At 40.1% G+C, this 12,824-nt stretch overlaps 1 protein-coding gene across 4 annotated transcripts in view; it reads right to left on the reverse strand.

The window, feature by feature from the left end:
• ELOVL6 (ELOVL fatty acid elongase 6) overlaps positions 1-12,824 on the reverse strand; it is a 153,357-nt gene that overhangs the window by 120,986 nt on the left and 19,547 nt on the right. The gene's annotated exons all lie outside the window — the stretch shown is intronic.

The raw sequence follows: 12,824 nt of genomic DNA on the forward strand, positions 1-12,824 counted from the left end.
CTTAGCACATAGTGATTTTCTATACTATAGTTACTATAATACTATATTCCAGCACTGGAATATTTGTTCTTTTTCTGTAGCATTCTACTGTATTTTGCATGTACATCTGCCTTCCTAAACAGACTGTGATCCAAATAAGTTGAAATATATACAGAGGGTCTGTCTGTCTGCCAATGCTAGGACATTGCCTTCTATTTCTTTGTCTTCTCACCTGTCTCCTGCATGTCAGGCACACTCTCATCATTTAGTAATCACCAGCTGACTTGACCCAAGAAGACCAAACAGTCTGAATGCACACAGTAGCTGAAGATCACAGGGTTTCAGTATCTCTCCACTGGCAAAAATATTAGGTGCATTGAGACACACTTCTGGTTCTCAGGAATAAAAACTTTATCCCATCTTCAAAATGTAATCGCTATTAGAGTATTTTTACATGCACAGTAAAAGGACTTGTGTTTTAGTACATACAGCGTTAAGTACTTAACCTTATACTAACTGTAAATATGTCTCTCTCTGTGTGTGTTTACAAATTGGCCTTGTTATTATACATGCTGTTTCATAAGCAGAGTTTTCTGCAACATGTGGTATACATTTTTTTTGTCAAGATATATTCTTCTATAATATAGTTTTAATGGTTACATAAGAGTTACTAAAGGATGTTTTTTTGGTTGCAGAGAGGGGAGTGAAGGGGGAACATTATAAATTTTATTTATTTTCTTGAGGCAGAGTCTCACTCTGTTGCCCAGGCTGGAGTGCAGTGGTGCAATGATCCTCAGCTTCCACAAGTAGCTGGGACTACAGGGTGCCTGCCACCACCTCAGTTATGTATGTATGTATGTATGTATGTATGTATGTATGTATGTATGTATGTATGTATGTTTGTATGTAGAGACAGGGTCTCCCTGTGCTGCTCAGGCTGGTCTCAAACTCCTGGCCTCAAGCCATCCTCCCACCCTGGCCTCCCAAAGTGCTGGGATTACAGGCGTGAGCTGCTGCACCCAACCTCTCTTATGCTTTTGGAGAGAAAAAATAAAACACCTATCTCCATGATTAGGGCTATTCTAACAGTTTGTACAAAACTTTCTGAGGCCTTGAGAGGCAGAAACATATCCAGGCAATTAAGGAAGTTCTTTCTTGTATTTTTGATATATAATTTTAGATTAAATGCTTAATTCCAATTGGAAGGTATAGTTAGAAAACGTCTACTACTTAAGATTAATATTTTAGTGGAAATTTTGTCTTTGTATCAATTTATGAACAGAGCCAAAATTTAAGTGAACATAAAAGAGATTCAATGAAAAAAAGTTAAAACCCTTTGAGAGTAAATCATTTTTAGGTGTATTTTTAGCTTATTGCATGAGAATTATATGGCTATAAATCATTAGAGTAAGGGTCAAATTCAGGCCAGTGTGATGGCTCATGCCTGTAATCCCAGCACTTTGGGAGTCTGAGGTGGGCAGATTGCTGGAAGCCCAGAGTTCGAGACCGGCTTGGGCAACAAGGCGAAACCCCGTCTCTACTAAAAAAATATGCAAAAGTTAGCTAGGCATGGTGTTGCATGCCTGTAATCCCAGCTACTTGGGTGACTGAGGCACAAAAATCACTTGAACCCAGGAGGCAGAGGCTGCTGTGAGCCAAGATCGTGCCATTGTACTCCAGCCTGGGCGACAGAGCAAGACTGTCTAAAAAAGAAAAAAAAAAAAAGTCAAATTCAATGGATGCAATCAGAACTTTTTCAAAAACTGCTCTCACGTGCTTTCATTGTGCAGAGCTCATTTAAACAAAATGAGCCCCACCATATGCTTTTCAAAATATCACCTTTGAAAATGGTTTCTGTAATTTTCCCAGTAGGTGCTGACGTCATAAGCCAAAGCAGGAGAGACCCAGACTCTGTGGACAGGCAGTGTGGACCTAGACTGCCTGGGTTTGAAGCCTCACTCTGCCAATCACCAGGTGTCCCACCTTTTCCAAGTTACTTAACCTCATCTCCAAGACATGCCCAATCACAAAGCCTACTTCATAAAATGGAGGGTTAATTAAATTAATGTTCATGAAGCCTTTAGTGGGTACGTGGTAAGCTCAATGATTATTAGTTAATAATATCCTTATTAAACGTCCAGTAAGTCTTTTTTAAATGTTATTTTCTTTGAGAAAGGGTCTCACTCTGTCACCCAGGCTGGTTTGCAATGGCACCATCATGGCTTACTGTAGCCTAGACCTCTTGGGCTCAAGCAATTCTCCCATCTCAGCCTCCCAAGTTGCTGGGACTGCAGGTGTATGCCACCACACCTGGCTAATTTTTGTATTTTTGGTAGAGACAGGGTCCACCCACCTTGGCCTCCCAAAGTGCTAGAATTACAGGTGTGAGCCACTGCACCCGACCCCAACAGAGTTTTGGGGTTTTTTGTTTTGTTTTTTTTTTTTTGAGACGGAGTCTCGCTCTGCCACCCAGGTTGGAGTGCAGTGGTGCGATCTCGGCTCACTGCAATCTCTACCTCCTGGGTTCAAGTGATTCTCCTGCCTTAGCCTCCCTAGTAGCTGGGACTACAGGTGCCTAACACCATGCCCAGCTAATTTTTGTATTTTTAGTAGAGATGGGATTTCACCATGTTGGCCAGGCTGGCTGGCCTGTAACTCCTGACCTCAGGTGATCCACACACCTCAGCCTCCCAAAGTGCTGGGATTACAGGCGTGAGCCACCATGCCTGGCCAGCCCAATAGAAGTCTTTAAATAAGTATTATTCAGAATTTCTAGAAAACACACTCCAATCATCTTCCATATTAAAACAATGGTGAAGGATTCACGGTGTGTGTGTGAGCACACACAGGTGTTTGGAAATTATCCACTCTTCTTCCCAGTTCTCTCTGGATTCTCCCTTAGGAAACAAAAATTTTTGATCTAATTTTAAGAAAATTTTTATTTTTATGAATTTATGCTTATATTCATTTTATATTTAGTTTTCTTTTCTTTCTTTCTTTTTTTTTTTTTTTGAGATGGAGTTTCCCTCTTGTTGCCCAGGCTGAGTGCAATGGTGCGATCTCAGCTCACTGCAACCTCTGCCTCCCAGGTTCAAGCGATTCTCTTGCTTCAGCCTCCCAAGTAGCTGGGACTAAAGGCGTGTGACACCACACCTGGCTAATTTTTGTATTTTTAGTAGAGATGGGGGTTTACCATGTTTTACCATGTTGGCCAGACTGGCCTCGAACGCCTAACCTCAGGTGATCCACCCACTTTGGCCTCCCAAAGTGCTAGGATTATAGGCGTGAGCCACTGAGCCCAGCCTATATTTTGTTTTCTATATTTATTAGATTTATAAATTTTTTAAATCTCCAGCCTTAAGAACATGCTTTATGATTTAAATTTGAAAAGACAAGTTCTCTATATGAAAATAAAGTTCCCTTATCAGCATTTTGTGATATATTTACTGCTAAGTATAGGTTGTGTGCTGCCATTATAAATTTGAATTATGCAAAAAACAAGATAAAGGCTTGAACTTTGCATGTTACTTCTAGAACAGAATACAGCTGATCCTCATTACTAAGAATTCATACTTATTTAGCATACTCGCTAAAATTTATTTGTAACCTCCAAATCAATACTCATAGTACTTTTGTAGTCATTTGTGGTCATGCAAAGAGCAGTGAAAAAATTAAGTTGCCCAATGTGCACATCCCTAGCTGAGGCTAAACCAAGTGATGCTCTGCTTCTTTTTTGGACTCTCATTCTCTAAACAAATGTCCTTTTTGCAGTGTACTTGGTCCTACCTTTCTTACATTTTTGTGCTTTTTCATGATTTCCCTATTTAAATTGGCCTCTAGTGCTGACATGCTGAGGAGTGTTCTTAACCACAAGATTATGATTTGCCTTAGAAAAACACGTTAGATTAGCTTAGTTCAGGCATGAGTTGATATTGACTGCAAGCTCAATGTCAACAAATCAACAATATATTAAATAAGATGTGTGATATTATATATACAGGTTTCATCCACAGCTCCTGGCTCGCAACTCCCACAGCCCTGTTAAAGTCTTTTGTTATAATGTTGGGGCACTTTAGGCCCAGAAAAAGGCCTCAAAAAATGGAATCTCTCTCTCTCTGACCTTCCCTTGCCCTGGTTTCCCCAGCCCAAGGCAGAACTCTAACCTTCCCAGGCCTTTCTGATTGAGTCCTGAGACCCTCAATTCAGAAGGGATCTTGCCCCTTACCCTGGAGGAAGGAATGTGACACACAGGCCAAGAAGAATCTGAACAGACAGGCCTTGCTGGGTTTCCCGCTCAGTCAATGAGTATTAGGTTGGCCAGGCGCTGTGGCTCATGCCTGTAATCCTAGCACTTTGGGAGGCCAAGGCAGGCAGATCACCGGAGGTCAGTTTAAACTGAGACCAGCCTGACCAACATGGTGAAACCCCATCTCTACTAACAATACAAAATTAGCTGGGTGTGGTGGTTGATGCCTGTAGTCCCAGCTACTTGGGAGGCTGAGCCAGGAGAATCGCTTGAACCTGGGAATCAGAGGTTGCAGTGAGCCAAGATCGCGCCATTGCACTCCAGCCTGGGCAACAAGAGTGAAACTCCATCTCAAAAATAAATAAATAAATAAATAAATAAATAAATAAATAGTATTAGATCATACCTTTTTTGTCCAATCACATTTCTGCATGGTTGTCAATCATACCTACACAATGAAGTCTCCATAAGAAGCTCAAGATTGGGTTTGGAGAATTTCCAGATAGCTGAGCACCTGGAGGTTACTGGAGGGTGGTGCACGTAGGGAGGACGTGGAAGCTCCAAGCTCTTCTCCCATACATTGCCCTATGTATCTTTTCATCTGTATCTTGCATAATATCCTCTTTTTTTTTTTTTTTTTTTTTTTTTTGGTTGAGACAGGGTCTCTCTCTGTGTTGTCCAGGCTGGAGTACAGTAGCACTATCTTGGCTCACTGCAGCCTCTGCCTCCTGTGCTCTTTCCTCCCACCTCAGACTCCCAAGTAACTGGGACTACAGGTGCATGCCACCACACTTGGCTTATTTTTTAGCTTTTTGTAGAGACAAGGTCTCACTATATTGCCCAGGCTGGTCTCGAATTTCTGGGCTCAAGCAATCCTCCAGCCTTGGTCCCCACGGTGCTGAGATTTCAGTTGTGAGCTACTGTGCCCAGACTTATAACATCCTTTATAATAAACTAATACATGTGTTTCCCTGAGTTCTCTGAGCCTGTCTAGCAAATTAGTGCAACCCAAAGTCATGAGAATCCCAACTTGAAGCCACTCAGAGGTCAGAAATTCCAGAGACCCAGACATGTGACTCTTGGCTGGGGAGAGCAGGTAGTCTTGGGGATTGGGACTTTAACCTGTGGGATCTGTCCCTATCTCCAAGCAGATAGTGTCAAAATTGAACTGGAGGACACCCAGTGGATGTCTGCTGCAGAATTTACTGCTTGCTTGGGTAGTGGTGTGAGAACAGAGGAAAAACAGTTTTGAGTTTTTCCACTCACATACAAAAGACGTCTTTAACAGAAGCACACTTAAAAGAAAGTCATGTATTGATCAATTGTTGAAAATGTTGTGACCAGACACTTGTAGGAACTTAATTCTTATATTCCACCTGGGAGCAATGATTCAGTGTTTGCTAATTCAGTACCCCCAGCAACTTTATAAAGCATAACTACAGCAAGTAATGAGAATTGCCTGGACCTCCTGCAAAGTACAAGGATTAGAGGTAGATAGTACTAATCCATCCCAGGTACATGGATTAGGCACTGAGAAAGAAGAGCCTTCTAGGATAGCATCCACACTTGACACTGGTTGCTTAGTTAAGTGAATACCCTTCTTCTTAAGAAACGTCTTTTTGAGATCTGATTTTACTTAGTTTAAAATATATGCTTACAAAAATAAATAACTGCATTAGCCCAAAGTACTTAAAAATTCTTGCTGATGTTTTTTACTGTAAACTCTGCTAAGAGCTTTTAAGTCTTGTTACAGTGAAACAATGGACATATACCCCTGGAATATGGAGACTTTTCATTGAGTGTCACATGCAGGGGAAAAAGGAAAACCAACAATACTCCCTGGACCTCCCAAACCTTCTTGTCTTCAAGTCCTAAGCACAACAAAGAATGCAAAAGGAGAGACACACTGCATATGCCTATGTGGATTCTCATATGCTTATGTTCCAGTGACACCTTCCCATTTGTCTTGTGCTAAGTAAACCCACAGGTTTGTGTAATAAAGACAAAAAGCATGCCATTTATTGCCATAATAGTGTACTATTTCATCCACTGACTTGATCTGCCTATCTGTGTATTCAAATAGCACCTATGACCTGCTTCTCCGCCCAGACAGAACAAATTATTGGGTGTGACTTAGTCAAGCATGAGAACAAACAGAGAGAAATATGAACTCAGGCTGTCAAGGCACAGAAGTAGGCAGTAATGGGAAGCAGGTGAGATGTGATCCCAGCAGACCAATGTGTTCTCTGAGTGCTAGTCCCAGGATGGCAATAACTGTTCCAAGTTCTGTTTATGTCACTAGTGATACCCACAACCAGCCATTCTCATCCTAGAACATCCAGGTCTCATACATTCTGAAAGATTCAGACTATCATCTAAAATTGTATTAGACCTGATAAGAATGGTTTCCTTTACCTGATATTCTAGTTCTGCAAAAGGCCACCTTTACTTTGCCCTGTTATTAAACAGTCCATGTCACTCAGCCTATGGCTGCATTTTGCCAAAATTTCCTCAACTGTAAAAAATTCCTTGATCAGGTCAAGTGACATGGACTGTTTAATAACAGGGCAAAGTAAAGGTGGCCTTTTGCAGAACTAGAAATCAGGTAAAGGAAAATAATAATAATAATAATAATAATAATAATAATAAATTCCTCGATCAACTGATTGGTCCTACTGCTAGATGCTCTGGCAAGAAATAAGATAAAATAGCATTACCTTGGGAGCTAAATGATAAGAACTTATGAATACAAAGAAACAACAATGAGGTCTACTTGATGGAGGAGGTTGGGAGGAGGGAGAGGAGCAGAAAAGATCACTTTTGGGTACTAGGCTTAATACCTGGGTGATGAAATAATATGTACAACAAATCCCCATGACACATGTTTACCTATGTAACAAACCTTCACATGTACCCTCAAGCCTAAAATAAAAGTTAAAAAAATAAAAATATAAAAAAGCAAGATAAATATTCGTTGGATAGAAAAAATAGCATGACTTTCAATGTAAATTTTAAAAAAGATTAACCCACAAAAATTAGAAATTTAAAAACTTTTTTTAAAAAGAAAGAAAAAGATTTTAAAATATCAGGATGTAAAGAAAGACAGTCTTTTTTTTTTTTTTTTTGAGACAGAGTCTTACTCTGTTGTTCAGGCTGGACTGCAGTGGCGTAATCTCGGCTCACTGCAACCTCCACCTCCGCAACTCAAGAGATTCTCCTGCCTCAGCCTCCTGAGTACCTGAGATTACAGGCCCATCCCACCATATGCCCGGCTGATTTTTGTATTTTCAGTAGAGATGGGGTTTCACCATGTTGGCCAGGCTGGTCTTGAACCCCCGGCCTCAAGTGATCTGCCTGCCTTGGCCTCCCCAAGTGCTGAAATTACAGGTGTGAGCCACTGCGCCTGGCCTTCAGGCATTTTAAATATATATTCTCATAATAATGAATGCTTTTACTTTTGAACATACATTTTTTAAAAAGGTCAAATGGTATCTCTTTTTGCCTGTGGCCCTACTGAATCAGACTAGACTTACCAAGTTTTCTATTGACCTTAGAATTCCTGATGTGCTAGGTTGACATTCCTATAATGTCAACACACGTTCACTAAAATGAATTTGCTTTTCTGCTATAAGACCTATTAGTCACAGATGGAAATTCTACAACTATAGAATACATGTAAAGCACAAGAAATTGTCACACTATATAACATGACCTTTACCTACATTTTTACTTTTGCTTCAAAGTTGGCATATTTAGATTTAGATGCACCTAAAACCATCCCAAGAATATAATGCACTAAATGAACAACCTAATTATTCTTATAGAGTGCAATTAACTCATAGGATACTTGTTAGTATCCTATGTATTAACTAATCATTCCTTTCGCTTCTTCTTAATCTAATTTTACGGACCAAATAATCTAAGAATGTGTAAATTCCATGTATGTTATAATTTGTTTATACTATAAATATAATTTATAATTTAAAAAACTAAAAAAAAAAATCAAATCACTGTTGGGCTCATATACAATCAAGACATAAGTATCGGCCAGTCACAGTGGCTCATGCCTGTAATCGCAATACTTTGGGAGGCTGAGGCGGGCAGATCACTTGAGGCTAGGAGTTTGAGACCAGCCAGCCAACACGGCGAAACACTGTCTCTACAAAAAATACAAAAATTAGCCACGCGTGGTGGTGCACGCTTATAATCCCAGCTACACGGGAGGCTGGGACATGAAAATCGCTTGACCCCAGAGGGAGAGGTTGCAGTGAGCCAACATTGCGCTACTGCACTCCAGCCTGGGCAACAGAGCAAGACTCTGTCTCAAAAAAAAAAGACATAAATATAATGTTCTCACCTATAAAATGGAGATGAAAAATCCTATTTTATAGGGTTGAAGGAGACTATGAGATAAAGTAAATGTAGTGTGTAAAATTTTAAATACTGACATATGTAAGTAACATCAATGATAACAACATAACTAAAACATATACAGCATCAGTGAAAGCTTTACATATATTAACTCATTTAATCAATATAACAACTCTTATCAGGTTAGTTTATTATTATTAAACTATGCTTTATAGAAGACTTTTACCCTCTCCAAGGTTACAAAGCTGAACAAGGATCAGAACTCAGGCAGTCTAGCCCTAGAGTTACATTACATCTATCATCCCTCTTTATGATGTTACTATCATATGATCCAACAGAGACAGTAACAGCAAATAAAGTCTAAGTCATGCCTTCATAGGAAGGGTAAGTGAGATCTTTATTATGTGCTGAGTAACTGATGATGAATGATAGATTCCAGTATCAATGGTCACAGAGCTTTCTCAATGTGGGGTCATGTTTTAGGATCTCATGTCATGTAATGTGTAAAACTATTCTTTCTTAATCATTTGTACTTGTTTAAATCATTATTCTTCCACTTCCATTAGGAAGTTTGTATCTAGAGCTCTCCTCATTGGCATAGTGGTGAGTTAAAAAAAAAAAAAAAGAACAAGAAAGTATCTAGAGCTCTATCTTCAGAGATTAAAGAGTAATTTACTCAATAGTTTACATTTAACAACACCATGAATAAATCAATGTTTCTACCTTATTTATTTATTTATTTATTTATTTTTTGAGATGGAGTCTCACTCTGTTGCTCACGCTGGAATGCAGTGGCGTGATCTTGGCTCACTGCAACCTCCACCTCCCAGGTTCAAGTGATTCTCCTGCCTCAGCCTCTCAAGTAGCTGGGACTACAGGCACATACCATCACACCTGGATAATTTTTGTATTTTTAACAGAGATGGGGTTTCACCATGTTGGCAGGCTGGTTTCAAACTCCTGACTTTGTGATCTGCCCACCTTGGCCTCCCAAAGTGCTGAGATTACAGGCATGAGCCACTGCGCCTAGCCTCAAAGTTTCTATTTTTTTAGAAGAAATTTCCATTTGTGAAGAGTCATGTAAAAAGTCCCAACATGATTTTTACCGCAACCTGAAATTGTTTCTTTCTTCTGAGAGTATACATTTTTGTGCTAGCGTGGTCAAAGATAACTTATAGCCAACCCAATCCCCCTCCTTTGCCAACAGATAAACTTTACCCGATATTGTGTGGAGGGCAATGTGCCTGGCCCTTGAGAGACAAAGTGCAAGACTGGTTTAAGCCTCTCAAGGCGATCACTCTCTTTGTCATTCTTTGTCATTATTTTTGAGATGGAGTTTCATTCTTGTTGCCCAGGCTGGAGTGCAATGGCACGATCTCGGCTCACTGCAACCTGTCTCCCAGGTTCAAGCGATTCTCCTGCCTCAGCCTCCCGAGTAGCTGGGATTACAGGCATGTGCCACCATGCCCAGCTAATTTTGTATTTTTAGAAGAGACAGGGTTTCTCCATGTTGGTCAGACTGGTCTCGAACTCCTGACCTCAGGTGGTCTGCCTGCCTCGGCCTCCCAAAGTGCGAGATTACAGGCGTGAGCCACCACGCCCGGCCTCTTTGTCATTTAAGAGTTGGTGTAGGAAAGCAATCCCCATCCTCTGTCAGTGAATGGTCCAAGAGTGAAACACATCACCAGGCCTGGCTGATGGCATGAAATTATAGCAATAATAAGAGCAGATCTAGGCATGTTGGCTCATGCTTGTAATCCCAGTGATTGAGAGGCTAAGGCTGGAGGATTTCTTGAGGATAAGAGTTCAAGACCAACCTGGGCAACATAGCATGACCCCATCTCTACAAAAAATTTTAGAATTTGTCAGGTGTGGTGGCATGTCCTGTAGTTCAAACTACTTGGGAGGCTAAGATAGGAGGATCATTTAAGCCCAGGAATATGAGACTGCAATAAGCTGTAATCATGCCACTGCACGCCAGCCTGGCTGACAGAGTGAAACATTGTTTCTTAAAAAATAAATTAATAAATAATAATAATAATAATAAAATAAGAGCATATCCTTTTATAAACTTACTGAGTGCAAGTTGGCTTGGAGGCTTTGCCTTGACAAGAAAGCAAATAAAAAGGCTCCCATGCCACTGCTCCTTTCTTTCTGCTTGAGATGCTTGTGTGGGAAGCTTGGTGATATGGCAGCCACCTTGTGACCATGAAGAAAAAACTATTGACACATTATGAATGGCAAAACGGAAACTCAGATAGAACCTAGGTCATTGATAACATTATTAAAACCACTAAACAACCACTGAGGCTTCCAATCAAAGTTATTGTTATGTGAAATAATTAAAAGTCTTCATGTTTTAGGCTACAGTTAATTAAGTTCTGTTACTTGCAGTTGAAAACATCCTAAAAGTTCCCTGATTGGCATAAATGTTCTTCACACCAAACTGATGAGTATTACCCAAAAATGACATAATCCATGAAGAAAATAATCTGAAACTTATTGCATTTTGTACCTGACTGGTCAAACTTAAAACAATTGTAATACTATTATTCAGTATATTTTGTGTTTCTCTAAAGCTACTAGTTTTCTTTGCCCTGTCGTCTAAAAATGATTAAAAAATAATGTGCTACCTAAAAAGAGTGAGATGCATCTCCTCAAGCTTTTCATGTGTCAGCCAGAACATTACATTAAAGAAACAAATTCTCTCATTTACAGTTTGGTGCAGGAAGTATTTAACAACATGCAGAAATATCCATTCTATATATTTCTTAAAAGTTAGGCTACAGAAAAATATGGTATGAAAACTATGATAATATTTTTGTAAAAAAGAAAACGAGCCGTGCACAGTGGCTCACGACTATAATTCCAGCACTTGGGGAGGCCAAGGTGGGCGGATCTTGAGGTCAGGAGTTCGAGACCAGCCTGTCCAATATGGTGAAAACCCATCTCTACTAAAAAAAAATTAGCCGAGTGTGGTGGCGCACGCCTATAGTCACTACTACTTGGGAGGCTGAGGCAGAAGAATCGCTTGAACTGGGGAGGTGAAGGTTGCAGTGAGCTGAGATGGAGCCAAGATCGTGCCACTGCACGCCAGCCTGAGTGACAGAGAGTGAGACTCCATCTAAAAAAAAAAAAAGGAAAATGGGCCAGACGCGGTGGCTCACACCTATAGTCCCAGCACTTTGAGAGGCCAAGTCAGGACTGCTTAAGCTCAGAAACTTGAGAGCAACCTGGGCAACATAGTGAGACCTCGTCTCTACAAATAATCAAAAAATTAGTCAGGTGTGGTGGTGCTTGCCTGTAGTCTCAGCTACTTGGGAGCCTGAGGCTGGAGAATCACTTGAGCCAGAAGACTGAGGCTGCAGCAGCCTCGGTGACAGAGAGAGACTCTGTCCTAAAACAAACAAACAAAAACATAAAGATGGATAAAAAGTTTTGAAAGACTTACACCAAAATGTTAGTGTATATCTCAGGGTGACATTTGTTTTCTTCTTTTCACTTGTGTTTCTTAAATTTTCTACAATGTATTAAAGTTACCTGCTCCAAGCCTATCCACAAGAAGCAGAAAACTACAACTGATAATGTTTATGCTTTTACAAGTGTCTCTGCAAAAGTATGTATTTTTTTATTTATCAAGATGAATCCTAGTAGTTCTCTACGTTAGGTAAAATCTTTAAAAAAAAAAAGATTATATGTATACCTTCATAATTCTAGGCCTCCAGATACATACAATTTAATTGACGAGACAAATAAAATACATGTATGTAAACTTCAGAAAATAGGGCAAAAATAGGCCAGGTATAGTGGCTCATGCCTGTAATCCCAGCATTTAAGGAGGCTGAGGTGGATGGATCACCTGAGGTCAGGAGTTCGAGACCAGCCTGGCCAACATGGTGAAACCCCATCTCTACTAAAAATACAAAAAATTAGCTGGGTGTGGTGGCACATGCCTGTAATCCCAGCTACTCAGGAGGCTGAGACAGGAGAATTGCTTGAAACCGGGAGGCTGAGGTTGCAGTGAGCCGAAATTACGCCACTGCACTCCAGCCTGGGCAACAAGAGCAAAATTCCATTTCAAAAGAAAAGGGCAAAAATATTAAATCATTAAACCCAAATGAAATAAAGAGAAAACAAGAATATTTATTTTCATTTTCACATGAAAAAATACAATTTAAGCTAATATTAAAGACAACTAGCAAGCTATTGATGGTCTGGCCTAAGGTCA

This window comes from Homo sapiens, chromosome 4 (genome assembly GCF_000001405.40).
Source record: "Homo sapiens chromosome 4, GRCh38.p14 Primary Assembly".
In the NCBI taxonomy this organism is placed as follows: Eukaryota; Metazoa; Chordata; class Mammalia; order Primates; family Hominidae; genus Homo; species Homo sapiens.